This window comes from Homo sapiens, chromosome 18 (genome assembly GCF_000001405.40).
Source record: "Homo sapiens chromosome 18, GRCh38.p14 Primary Assembly".
NCBI classification, from domain to species: Eukaryota; Metazoa; Chordata; class Mammalia; order Primates; family Hominidae; genus Homo; species Homo sapiens.
The window spans coordinates 24,626,917-24,641,581 of record NC_000018.10 but is presented as its reverse complement, the minus strand read 5'-3'; the positions used below and the strand labels follow the sequence as shown (position 1 = coordinate 24,641,581).

Sequence of the window (14,665 nt, the reverse complement as noted above, 5' to 3'; positions counted from 1 at the left end):
TTTTAAACAAGATGTTTGTGTAATATTAACGAGGTAGTAAAAGATTTTTGTTTACCTTTTAAGTAAACTGCAAACAAAAAAAGTGGGGAGAGAGGGAGAGACAGATACAGTTTGCTTCATGATGTCTTTCTCAGGTCTTATGATTGTTTAGGAGACTCTTCCTTTATCAAAAAGTAAAGGTTTTTGGTTTTTGAAATCTTGAAATTATTACTTTAACTAAATGAACAACTACCATTTTACAGTGACATGTGATTCTATTCCGAGCAAGTGTTTTAAACCTTTGATATTTGACAAACTTTCCAAAATCAAAATTTCAAATTCTAAATTCAGTCTCTTGAACCTCAAACTAAGTTTTTGGATATTAGGGCCCATGGAAGTTCAAGAGAGACATATTAGGTTTATTTGGTATGTTGAAGTCATACGGAAAACACTGTCAAATATAAAATGGAGTTTAATTTACTTTAGGTTATATTTGTATAAAGGTGATATTAACATATCTTCCAAATTTGTATGTGATTCCTAAAATTCTAATATGTCTTATTACATGTTATCAGTAATAATTATGATTATTATGTTAAATTGTTTTATGCCACAAAATAACCAAATTTCCTTGTTAATTGTGTCTTTAGCCATGGCTATTCAAACACTTTTGTCATCCACAGACAATTATTGTTTTACCTTGATTATTCTCAGAAAGTGGTTTATAATCAGCAGCAGTCCAAAATTTGCTTCTTCTTTAAATAAATTCATACAAAAACTCTTACAAATACTCCTGAATACAGGTTTCTGGTTTCTGATAACTTTGGAGATTGTACCATTGGACAAAAAAAAAACTTTCAGAACTCTAATGAAAAAACTGATACATTTATGGGAATTGCTCACCCAACATTAAGCAAAAAAAAAAAAAAAAAAAAAGTTAATTACATAGGACTAACTGATAGAAGACTAACATAATTTTTCATGACTTTTTGTTTGAAACATTGCTGATTCTTCTTAGGCTTTGTTTTCTAGAATCAAGAAAATGTTTTTCTTCTTCTTTGAGCTATTTATAGCTTACAACAAGTTGAGTAAAGTATACTTTTGTGAATAAAATTTAAACAATTGCCTTTCTCTCCACCTGATTTCTCCAGAATTTAGAAACAATTTGTGAGTATTCTTAATTTATGACAATATAGTTATTTGCATAAGTTCAGTAAGAACCTCTTTTCTTTTGTAACAGGACACAATTAAAGACACTGATTATTTTACCAGGGTTTTGACTGGAATGGCATATTTTCAGATGTAAACAGACTGCTTTAAGAAATTGGTCCTTGAGGAATCACCACACTGTCTTCCACAATGGTTGAACTAATTTACATTCCCACCAACAATGTAAAATCATTCCTATTTCTCCATAGCCTCACCAACAACCTCATTACTGGGTATATACCCAAAGGAATATAAATCATTCTACTACAAAGACACATGCACACATATGTTTATTGCAGCACTATTTACAACAGCAAAGACATGGATTCAACCCAAATTTCCATCAATGATAGACTGGATAAAGAAAATGTGGTATATATACACCATGGAATACTATGCAGCCATAAAAAGGAATGAGAACATATCCTTTGCAGGAACATGGATGAAGCTGGAAGCCATCCTCAGCAAACTAACACAGGAACAGAAAATCAAACACCACATGTTCTCACTCATAAGTGAGAGCTGAACAATGAGAACACATGGACACAGGGAGTAGAACAACACACACTGGGGCCTGTCAGGGGGTGAGGGTCAAGGGAAGGGAGAGCATCAAGACAAATAGCTAATGCATGTTGGGCTTAAAACCTAGATGATGGGTTGATAGGTGTAGCAAACCACCATGGCACACATATAGCTATGTAACAAACCTGCATGTTCTGCATATGTATCTCAGACCTTAGAGTAAAATTTAAAACAAGAAAATTTTAAAAAATAAATTGAAGTTGACTTTATAGAACTGATAAAAAACCCCTTGGAAAAAATGGGCTGGAACCTGTCTACATGGTTTCTTTACAAGGTTTCTGGCCTGCGGTAAGTAAAGAATGATAGGATCAGAAACCTCAAGTAATTCTGGGACCTCAAAGAGGAATTCACCCAATTCATACAAGTATTACAGGAACAGTTTAAAGACAAATCTTTGGCTTTGTTAGCCTCAGAAGGCTTTCGAAAGTCTTATCTGAAATTCCTTATAAAAAGTTCCAGAAAACCCAATTTAAAAAGACCGTATGTGGCCAATCACTATTTTTGCCACACTTTATGCAAACAATCAGGCCAAGTAAAATAAGACTAGGACTTACTTTTCAAATAAATTATACTAAGATTTGTCATTGGTAGAAACAGAGGACTGGAGGAAAATTATGTTTCAGAAGAAAACTTTAATATATCTGTTATTAGGTCTGTTATTAGATTCTAGATTCTAGCCTTGTCCATTGTTTTTGAGTTTTTATTATTTGCATACAATTTGGACCAAATACTGAACTTTTTACTGGCTCCAAACTAATGTTTACAATTTTTTTACTTAAAATCACTAAAACTAAAACTGCTTTTTCCTAAAGCCTTATAAGCTAAAACTAGACAACTTGATAAAAAAAAAAAAAAGCTTTGAAAAATCATTACAGCAACTTCATGTATGAATAGCCTTTGTGCCTGCTGGTGTACAGACTACTCAGAAAGTTCACTGGAACACCTGATGCAAACTGCAAACCGAAAAAAAATCTGTCAGATTGCCACTGTCTGCTCTCACTTCATCAGAAGATGCTTCAAGCCCAATATCTAAAAATCTTCTCAAATGGCTTCCCTCTGGACTCAGAAACTAAGTTTATAGTTTGTTCTAACCATTAGCCTTTGTTTTTCTTTTGTTCTCATAGGAATGCTTCTTATTAAATAACTGACTGCTCAAATCATAGAGAGGCCTGACGGTGGTGGAAGCCCACCTGCACCACTGCTGCCTGCAGTGAGACACAACTATCAACTGTGTAATTGGACTACCTTATCCTCAGGACTGAGAACCTTGTTCAATGGATTATAAAACAATCCACCAACCCGATATCTGGACTGTGAAACTTCCTGGGGAAGTTTCAGACTGGGGAATGTAGGGGCTCAGAAAACAATATCCTGAAACGAAGGCCTCAGAAGCAGCCTCAGAAGCAAAAGCTTTTTACTGACCTCCTACCTTCCTGTCTCTCAGAACCATTCTCCCACAAGGCTATCCATAGAAACTAGAATCCCTCTTCTCCAAGGCAGGTCACAGAAACCAGAACCCCTTCCCAAAAACCAACCATAAAACCTAAAAATATTAATCTAACTTTCCCTTTGCCTTTCTGTATAAAAACTGACCATAAAAAATTAACTGACCTACCTTGTTTGACTGTAGGTCACAATACTTCCATTTCAGAGGGCCCTGCCCCATACCCATAAAAAAAAAAAAAAAAAAAGCAGCTCAGAAAGGCCAGGAATAATCTAGACAGATAGATCTTGCTGGGTTCCCCCACTCAGTCCATTAGCATTAGATCATACTCTTTTTTTTCCAATTATATTTCCACAAAGCTGTCCATACTTTCACCTAAGCATAAAAATGGAAAATTTCCCCTGTATCTAGCGGTTTTCATTGTGGAGGCTCCCATGTATACATGTTAAATAGATTTGTATGCCTTTTCTCCAATTAGTCTACCTTGTGCAAGTTGATTTTTCAGCAAAACTTCAGAGGGCCAAGGAGAAAGTTTCTTGGCCCCTACATATGTATACGTCACATGTCTTTATTTACGTGTGTGTGTCTGTGTGTGTGTTTGTGTGTGTGTGTGTGTGTGTGTGTGTAAATCTGTAAATTCATGCTGGTACCTCCAATTTCAATCCAACACTACATGGTTTATTTTATCCAAGATTACCAGATAAAATACAGGATGCCCAGTTAAATTAGAATTTCAGATAACTAAAAGTATAAATCTGTCCCAAGTAGTGTCCTGTATTTTTATTTGCTAAATTTGGCAACCCGATTCTAGCTGTCTCCATTTCCATATTCCCAACAGTAAGAGACCTGACTCCCATTATCCTCAATGCATTTCTCAGTCCTCCAGGACATAGCAAATCGCTTAGCACAGCCCCATCCCCTCCTTGTCCACAGGCCTTGATCCCTGCTTGGCTTGCCTACTTCATTCTGGCCTGCTAATGGTTTTCAATGATGCATGGATGAGGAGAAGGAAGAAAGAAAGTAGTTTTAAAGAATGAGTAGGGTAAAGCAAGGGAAACATGGTAACTGCAGCAGCAAGCAACCCCAAATCTCAACAACTTCCCCCAACAAATATTTACTCTTGCTTGCAGGTCTCCAGGTGAGCTGTACTTCTGCTGGGCTCAGCTGAGCTCTGATGGGCTCCTTGTGTCTTCTCATTCCATGTCCCAAGCTGAAGGGGCAGCCACCGTGAGGGGGTTCTTGTGCCAGGGGACAGAAGCTCCAGGGACAAGACAAACTCATGGTGTTTCTTAAACCTCTGATCAAAACTGGCCACTGTTCCTTCCATCTACACTGCATTGGTCAAAACAACCCCATGGCAAAGCCCAAAGTCAATAGGGCAGGAAAGGAAAGTACACTCTGCCTCCTATAAAATACAGCTAAGTGGGGAAGTGGATAAATAATTGAGAACAATAATGCAATCTATCACCATTGCAAATTAAATAAAAACAAACATAACCAACATAACAATCATACATAAAGAATAAAGCATCATTGCAAAAACAAAACAAAACCCCTCATACTGAATCAAAAACTGAAACTCAACTGAATTCTGTATAAAAGAAAAACACCTAAAATAAAATGACTCAGGATGCTTGAAAGGGAAAGAATAATTATAAAAAGAGCAAAGACGCTGTGATTATTTTCTGAAAATTTGACCCCATATCCCCGTGCAGTTAATCAAGCAATTACTTAATCTAAAAGTCAAAGGGGTCTCCTCCCCAACAAACCAAGTTCCAAACTTCAAATCCCTCTTTTAAAAAGGTTCCAACCCACACTTAGCAGTAATAGAAATTACAGATGAGAGAGAGAAGACAGAGGTATATACTATATAGACATTGTATTAATATCTTCTTGTGACGTTTACAAAAATTGAACCATATTATACTACAGAGAAAACCTCAATAAATTCCAACCAATAAGTGTTATTCAGACCATATTCACTGACCACAACAGAAAAAAAAAAGATACAAATAGATTAATGTTATAGAAAGAAACGAGGAATGAGACCCACTCCTGAGAGATTAAGCCATCCAAATTTCACTGGTAAAGGGAAAAAAGCAAAACTACACTTGTAGAATATTTAAGAGAATAACAATAATGGGAACATTACATATGTATGCTAAAGCTGGCATTTCTAATTAAAGAGGAAAAGATGTTGGAACAATTAGCTGGCCTTCTGGGAGAAAATAAGTAAATTTGTTTCCTTTACTGCATAATTCTTTAAGCTAGATGAATTCCAGATGGATTAAAAATTAAAATATAAAGAAGGGAATTCATACTTAGCCATAGATTTTTTTCTTTATATATTTTAGGGGTGGTCAAGACCTTGTATTATGTTGAACCAAAGGCAGAAACTAAATAGATAACATTGGCATATTACACACCATTGAAATTTAAAGTTCTGAAGAGGAAACAAAATGGCTAAAAGAAATTAAATTCTGAGGGAGATACTGCTAAAATTTTAAAACAAAATGTTTAATAGCCCTAATATGCTAAAATGATCATATAAGTCTATATGAAAATATTGAAACCCAACCAGAAAAAAATGTAAATTACATAAACACTTTAGAAGTGAAAAAAATTAAAATGTGCAGTAAGTATATAAAGAGATGTTTGGCCTGGGTAGTAATATGTGTTTAAGTCTACATGGCCATGTTTATCGATCCACAGGAAAATGTCTGGAAAGATAGACACTAAAATGTTAACAAGATTATCAAAAGATTATCTCTGAGGTGGGGTGAGATTTTAGGGTGACTTTTCTTCTCTCCTTTTTGAAATGGCCTTTTTTTAATTAGCATACATTCATTTTTATGACTAGATTACTCAGCATACTTAAAATATACAAATAAAAACTGATGAATCCCCTTTTGGTTTTTACAAAGATTCTTAACATCCATTTTTAGTTACGTTGTAGAAAAATGCTACTGACAAGGGGAAATACTCACTTTATATTAGAGGATGGAAAAAACAGACTACAAAATGATTATTTAATTTGTATTTTATAAAGGGGATATAGTAAATGACAGTGATTTTTCTTTAGCAATAAAATTGTGCATCATTATATGTTCTTTTGTGTTTTCCAGTTATCTACAATAAATGGTTTTTTAAAAACTCAAAAGTTTTTAAATAATGAATGTTATAGCTGCTACAGGTAATAGTCCCAGATAATGAGGCCCCCATAATCGTTGCAAAGTTTAGGGATCCCAGTTTTATTTTTCAGGTATAAAGCAGGGGCCCCATAATAAATACAGAGCCCTGAGCGATCCTCTCCACATATTCTATAAACCAGGGACAGAAAGAAAAATACTGCATGATCTAATTTATATGTTGAATCTGAAAATACTGAACTCATTGAAGCAGAGAGTAGAATGAGGGTTGGCGGGATGGGGAATGGAGAGATATGGATCAAAAGGTAGAAAGTTTTAGTTAGATGGGAAGACTAAGTTTTAGTGACCTACTGCATAGCATAGTGACCATAGTTAATAATAATGTACTGCTTATTTCAAAGTCTCTCAAAGAGTAGATTTCAAATGTTCTCACTACAAACAAAATAAGTATGTGAAGTGATGGATATGTTAATTAGCTTGATATAATCATTCCACAGTGTATACATCTATCAAAACATCACATTGAACCTTGTAAATATACACAATAACTATTTGTCAAATAAAGTAAACATTTAAAAAATAAATTTTAAAATCAGAGTAGAGCTGTTTATGCAGCATCTAAGCCTTGAGTAGCAATTCCTGCTCAACAAATTGTCATGGGGCACTTTCTAATACTAGGTATGAGGCGAGATGAAGAGGAACAAGATAGGGCCCCTCTCTTCATGGAGCCCACAGCCTCACAGAAAGGTGCAGTGAATACACAATGTGAAGTGTGCAATGACAGGCCCAGAAGGGAAGAGGGTGTGAGGGAGAGTGACCAGCTATCTCATTTTACCTGAGACTGAAGGGACATGGGACTTACTTTCAGTGCTAAAACCAGGAAGTCCTGCCCAAACCAGGACAAAATGATCACCCCAGAGTGAGGACTGGGACAGCTTCCAAGCTCAGGTTCATCGTAAGTGGGGTTCTCAAAGATAACTGGGCATATTTGTAGGAGACAGAAGTCCTGCCCCATGGTTTCATCCTTGCCCAGGTCTTTGTTGGGAGGGCAAAGGATTGTGTTGGAGAACAGAATCGGGTTTACAGCAGGTCATTTTCCGCTTTTGGGGTTACCAAAGCCCTTTCGGAAATGGGATGAAAATGGATTTTATCCTTGATAGAGGCCTCCAATCCTGCTTCCTATAAAGAAGCTGGGCCGGGCGCGGTGGCTCACGCCTATAATCCCAACACTTTGGGAGGCCAAGGCAGGCGGATCATGAGGTCAAGAGATCGAGACCATCCTGGCCAACATGGAGAAACCCTGTCTCTACTAAAAATACAAAAATTAGCTGGGCATGGTGGCACGTGCCTGTAGTCCTAGCTACTCAGGAAGCTGAGGCAGGAGCATCACTTGAACCCAGGAGGCGGAGGTTGCAGTGAGCCAAGATCATGCCACCGCACTCCAGCCTGGCGACAGAGCAAGATTCCGTCTCAAAAAAAAAAAAAAAAAAATGCTGAGCCAGGCATTGTCTGTGATGGATGGGCCTGCTGGTCCTCTTGGAGAATATCGGGTGTAAGGCCCCCATGCTGCACAACTGCATGGACGGCAGCTGTCCCTGTTATGAGTTAGGTAGGATGCCCTTCAGGTCCTGCAGGATATTGAGGCCCTCTTTCCTGCAATCTGGGGGAGTTTCCTGGAAAAGCCCCACAAGACACTACAATCCAACTCTGAGTAACCCATTCATCCTTGCCCATGGAGGGGTCCTCTATTTGCAGAGAAATAAAGACAAAGCAAGTTCCTCCACTCTGTGCCTCTGGAGAAGACAACAGATTGATGTAAGCACCAGGAGTGATTCAAGGCCAAGTAAAAGCCAGGGAGGCAATTAAGCACCAGCTGGTGGTGACCAGTTCAGTAGGTGATCTGAGCAGAGTCTGAGTGGACAGTGAGTCACAGGACAGGGGCCTCATGGGGGACTCCAGGAGAGTTACAAAGTAGCCAGCTCTACAGAAAGCAGGGAGAGAGAGACAGCTGGCCACAAGGTATGAGGGCTCCTGCTGCGTTCCCAGGGCTCCATGACACCGTATTCACCCAGGGCTGCTACTGATGCATGATACGGACAGGGACTTGCATCCCGGACATCTTGAAGAGGCCACTCGGCCTCTGACCATTGCACTCTGACCACAGGGTTACTGAAAGAGTAAAGTGCGCTCCTATCTTTTCTGTTTCTAAAGGACAAACAAATTCAGTAATGTTCAAGCCTTTTTGCCAAGTCCCTTCTCATCCCAGCATGCCTACCATACTAACACCAAAATTACGGTAAGTTCGCTATTTCTCGAAAGAGAGCTCTGGCATTTCTATGCCTACCTCTGAGACTCATCTTCCTGTGATCAGAGAGGACAATGACGTCCCCTCACTTCCTGTGATCAGAGAGGACAATGACGTCCCCTCACTTCTGAGTGGACAGTGCAATTCCCTGGGAATATCAGAAAGCAACAGGTCAGAGTTCCTAGCATAGGAAAAGGATCCCCTGGGATATATTTCAAAAGCTACAATAGCATCCCGCCCCCCACCCAGCCAAATCAAGCCAAGATTTGCTTACGCATTGTTGAAGAGAACAGAGGTGAAGAGCAGTGTGTACTGAGGCACACTTAGGGACTTCTCTAAAATATACTGCAGCCATCTGCCAGGCCAGGTGGTTCCAGCATGGCCCAGATCAGCCTCCTAAATACCTGCTATCAGCAAACCACTAAATGTGCTCCATCCCTCCTGAGCTATACTCTGCTCTAGGGCTTTTCAAAATGGGTCCTTTGTAATACTAATCCCCTGAGATTCCCTCCACCAAAAAGGGCTTCTTGGCTACATGAGGCTGGGCAAACGGCCTGCTGGGCCCCCTGCTCTGATCCCAAGGGAGACTCCCCACCTGCGGCCCAGCTGCGCTCCTTGTCTGTCAGGGGAAGGAGGTGGCAATGACACACTGTGACGGCTCTCCGGTATTTTCATGTGAGGGACCTGCGTACGTTTCCTGAAAATATACTGTCTCACTCAGGGTCCAGCAAGAAAGAGGACCCAACTCGGAAGGTTCCAGAGGCTTTAGCCACTGACGGGACTATTTGCAGAGCTGTAGGCAGAGTGAAGGGAACGCCCAAAGAGAGGTTGAGGCACCTGGAAATTAGCAGCCGTGGGAAGCCTTGGCCACCCCAGGTCAAGGGCAGGGGGAGGAGAGAGCTTCCCCCTCCCCCTCCCCGTTGCAGGACACTGAGGTCTGGAGCCATGGGTAGGGGCTGCCCATGGGAGGTGGGGTCGGAGCAGGACCGGGCTTCGGAGCAGGACCGGGCTCCGGAGCAGGACCAAAGAGGGAGGGAGGTGGGTATTGAAGAAAAGGGTGCACGGTGCACATGGCGCCCTCTACAGCAGCGAACCTACTGGGTACAGAGCTGGGAGGGAAGACGTGGGCGTGGGACGTGCAGGAGCTGGGATGTAGCCAGCATGGACTAACCAGAGCAGAGCTTATGCATTAGCAACAAAGAAGCAAAGCATGAAAAGTGTGCCGTTTCCCCGTGAGACGTTTAAAAGTAAGGTTTTCTTTTGAATGCCTTAAGAATAAAGGGAGAGGGGACCTACTCCTAAGCGTCCTAAATGAGGTAAGAATGTTGAGTTTTGCTGTCACCCTTGTGGTCTGCAATTTCTTTCCTCAGGAAAGCAGTGAGAAGCATTGAGACCACGTTTCCCTTTTTAGAACGGTTGCCCTTTTGTGCTGGCAGGGACGTGGCTGCAGGCAGAAGGCATCTCTCTGTCATTCTTCCCTAAAGACAGTGAACTGTGCCAGTTCTGGGCCCTGAACACTTCTGAGAGCCAAAGGCTTTATTCACCTTCAGCCAGAGGCAATAATACCCTGGTGGTATTTAGCGCTGCATCATGTTGGAAACAAAAAAATCCAGTCTCTTTCAGTTCGTTTATATCTCTGGATGTCTTGAAATTTACATTTCATTGCAATAAGAAAAAAGAAATCAAAAGAGAGCCTGCCCCCAGAGAGGAGAGTTACCCCTAATTTTGATGGATCATGAAATACCCCTTCTTGGAGATCTAAAATATACATCATTAAAATCTCTAAGTAGTCCCCCAGAAAGAAACCTGTTTAGCTCTGCTTAATCCAGGATTTCTCATACTTGCGTGAAACTAGAACCCATTTTTTTTAATCCAAGTACACTTTGGAAAGTACTGTGATCTTCTGTAAGCCATATTTCTACAGTCTATGTTTAGCAGGAGACTTAACAGTGCAGTAATTTTTTCAGACAACTGAAGAATAGAGCTAATAAGATGATGCTCAATGCAGAAAGGAAAAGTTATCAACCGGCAGACTTACCAGAAAGGATAAGATTGGCCTCACAGCCTGCTAAAAAAAGAAAGGGTTTGGTAACCTGCATTCTGTCCACCTGCATTTAGGGTGACAGAGACACACCGACTCATGCCAAGAAGTAGCTTGCCTGATCCTAAAAAGAAAGACCTCTAAAGGAAATTTGAGACAGATGTGGGGGAAGCAGAGAAAAATGGCACTTTAGGAGGCCGTGGTGCCGACAGCTTTTCCGAAGTGGCTGCCATAAAATGGTGTGTGGTGTACAGCAAGGCTGTTTACCGACAGGAGCAAAACACGGGTAGGTGGCAGCAGGTGGCAAGGACGTCTCAGGAGGGCCATGACCAAGGGAGAGACTGAACGTCCAGGATCAGGGTTTTAAATCTGATTTCAGGAACAACGGAGAGCCATAGAGGCTTTGGAGAATCCTGAAAATGAAGATATTGTGCACTGCAGTGCACAGAATAGCTGGAAGACGACCAGATAGAGTTCAGAGCACCAGTGAGATTATACTAGCCCTCATGAAAGAAGACTGACAGCAAAACTATGACTGTGACCTTGGAGCTAGAGAGGTAGGGATGGATCTGAGACGTAACAAAGCTAGAAACTTTATGTCCTACTGGTAAATTGTTACAAGGGACTAAGGAAACAAGGGAGTTGAAAATGAACTAGATTTATGAGCCTGGTATAGAATGAGCCTTTAGACTATAACCTACCCCAGCTTGAATTTCTTGGCAATTCTTCCACTCCATCTTAGTGCTTCATTATACTCTGGGTCAGCTGGCTTCTATGCTTCAACACCTTCTGTGCTCATCAGCGCCAATGCCAGAAACAAAGGCAGCTGGGTAAAGAAAATATAGCCAGAAATAATAGAAACCCAACGAGAAAGGAAGTGTGGAATGAATTCTTTGGAGCTAAAAGAAAATCAAAAGGAGGCCTAAAGATAACCTTATAAAAACCAAACTAAAAGTCAGTTGTATCCCATGATCTGGGGTCCAGACTCCTTCCAGGACCTCAGAACTGAGCTTCACAGCAACCCTGTCTCCACTTTGGAGACTGAAAAGCTCAGCTGTCATTCTAAATGACCCTGAAATACATCAGTGCATAAGTGGATGATGTTTAAATAATCCTCTGACCATGCTCGAAGAACATCTCTTTCCATGCCAGCATCTCACAAGCACATTCTGATGGCGCCTAAACTCAATATCACCATAGAATCTAAGAAGCATTATCTCAAGTTCAGCTTCATACTGAAAAGATGGAGGCTGACCTCAGCTGGATGAGGCAGGAGAAGTACCTGTCCTGGTGCATCAGTCATTATTGTACCAACGCATCTTCATTATTAGCCCAAAGCCCTTTCATCCACCAAATTGTTGGCATTCACCCGGCCATCCTTCTGGTGGCCCAGACTCAAAAGCTGGTGGTCATCTTTGACCTCTCCCTCTTCTTCATTCAAGTTTTGTTAGTTCTGTATCCACAATGTTACTGACAAGTGTTTTCTCCTTTCTGTTTTCACAGAGCACATCTTGTAAATTTAGGCTCCCATCATTTGCATCATGTTCTATTGCTGCGGCATCCCAAAATTGTTTGTATGACCTGCTTCTTGTCCCCCAAGTCCACTATGCAATCAGAGTAGCTACCTAAAGCAAGGGTAAGGCCAAGCATGTCTGGCTCAACCATAATTGCTTGATTCGAAAATGTTCAAAGTCCCCTTTGTGCAACATATATTTGCATGGTATTAAATATTACCATTTCATGTGCCAACATAGTGCTCTCAACATATTGTTGAAAGACGTATCTCCCCTTTGACCTCCCCTTCACCACAAATATACTTCTATCGTTTCCTATTTGGCTTGATGACATTATTTGTATACCATATGGCTTTTTCAAAAATTGAAGAACTCACAAGTAGAGAATTATTATTATCTCTACCTGTCAAAAATCTTGCCAACATCAAAGCCAGAGCCCTTCTCAAATGCCATAGATTCCCAGGTGCTTCTGCTAAATCCCTTTTGTTAAAAGTAATTTCTCTCTCTTTTGACCTCTATGGAAGGTTTCAACACAATCTGCATTGTATTAGAGTTAATTACATTCCTATCTCATCTCCCCTATTTGAACATAAGCCCCCTGAGGGCCAAAGCAGTGCCTTACTCATCCTTACAGGCTCATGTCTCTTAGCTTAGTGCCCTGCTTGACAAATGTTTACTGTTTCATGGTCAAATAAACAAACAGTCTTAGTTAGAACCTACACCCCTTAGCAAACTGTAAATGGAGAATATGGAACATCAATGGGAGGCATCACTCCAGCTGCTGCTCCAACACTGTTAATTACACAATACTTTTATTGAGCAATTCAGTGGTAATTCTTGCTGCTATTCCTCCTTAATAAGATCCATTGTGCACCATAAAATAGTAACTGGGACGCAGTTTGTATTCCACATGCATCACATTTCTTTTTAGCAGGTTCTTCCATATCCATAATCTCATCATTATTACTATTACCCTCAGAAGACAATTGACTTGCATTAATCAGTCCTGCTGCCATTCCCTTGCCAGATTTTCTGTAGTTTTATTGTGCTTTTGGACATTTTAATTAACTTGAAAAATTAATTTTAAAATCTTACCTTATTAATGCTCTGCTCCCTTGGAAATCCCTCCTTCTTGTTTATTATCACTGACCATTTGAAGATGAGGTCATTAGTGATTAAAGCTACAGACAACTTCCACGCCCATCCTGCTGCAGATTTTGTGCTATTTTTAAACAGGATGTGAATAATAACTCCAACTTTTAAGCAGGTGGGGAGGGAGGTCTGTTGCTTAGGGAGTTAAAAGACATAATTTCAATTATGCCATAACATTTACTCCACAACTACTGCTCTCTACAGAAGCTCAACAACATTTGTTTATTAATACCATATACAGAGGTAAGTTTTGTTTTACCCAGTTGACAAACTGAAATGAGAAAGGCACCAGATTTGGTGACTCAAGAACACTGACACAAAGCCAAATAAGCAAGACGTGTCTGGTAAAACTAACTGGCTGATTCTCAATGCTCTATCTGGACCCTAGGAAAAATCACGGGATGGTCATTGAACAACATGAGTTCTTCATTTTCTAAACAAGAAAGGCAGCATCTCACAGGCTAACTCCAATCCATTGGTAGAGGCTGCTTGAGCATCATAATGAGAGTGTGAGGTTGTATTGGAACCTGTCAGAAAGCGTGTCCTTATCAGTGAGAGCTGCCTGCTATTTAGATGGGATTTGTGAATGACAGCAGCATATCTGCCTTTCACATTATAAAGGCTTGATATCCTTTTAATAGAATTTACTATAGTGATTCTCAACTTCTAATTATGAGGATTTACTCTTAATTTTAGAAAAAGGGCAGACTCATATATCCCTCAATTATAGTGTCTGTTGATATAGAAAATATCTGACAAAAAGCTAGTATGGGTTCAGTAATTATTTTACAGGAATCCTTGTTTTATAGATATTAACTACTTCTCCATTTAGAACACATGGTTCACATGTGTGCAAGATATATTATTTACTTGGTTTACAAACATTTATTGATATGCCTATGTATTTACACCCTCCTTGTCTAAACTCTCTTGCCAGCCCCCTCCCAACCCTACCCCTCTGGCCAGGGCTCAGGTGCCCACAAAGGACGAAACCACTAATTTTAGTCATACAACTGAAGAAATGAATATTCAAACCAAAACACTGATACAAATGTCTAACTTTGAACATTTTCAAAATGGGGTTTATTTTTGCTACAATTCTATTTGTAGAATGATAGAAAAATAGAGAACTACTCTGTCTACCTGCCTGCAGTCTAAGCTAAACATAGCAAGCTATCTAAGGTACCTGTTGATTGGAAGGGGCAGACACCCAGTAAAGCTAGTTTATTACAAGGGTATTTTAGGAATACAGAGTAATAAGATGAGACCAATTTGCAAACAGTATGGCCT

General features: G+C 40.1%; 1 long non-coding RNA gene across 1 annotated transcript in view; it reads right to left on the bottom strand.

Annotated features, from left to right (window-relative positions):
- Positions 1-13,400, bottom strand: part of LINC01915 (long intergenic non-protein coding RNA 1915) — a 34,017-nt gene extending 20,617 nt beyond the window's left edge. Inside the window, exon 1 of the long non-coding RNA NR_040033.1 lies at positions 13,319-13,400. This is a non-coding gene — a long non-coding RNA (long intergenic non-protein coding RNA 1915). The remainder of the gene's footprint in view (positions 1-13,318) is intronic.
- Between the last annotated feature and the right edge of the window lie 1,265 nt (positions 13,401-14,665).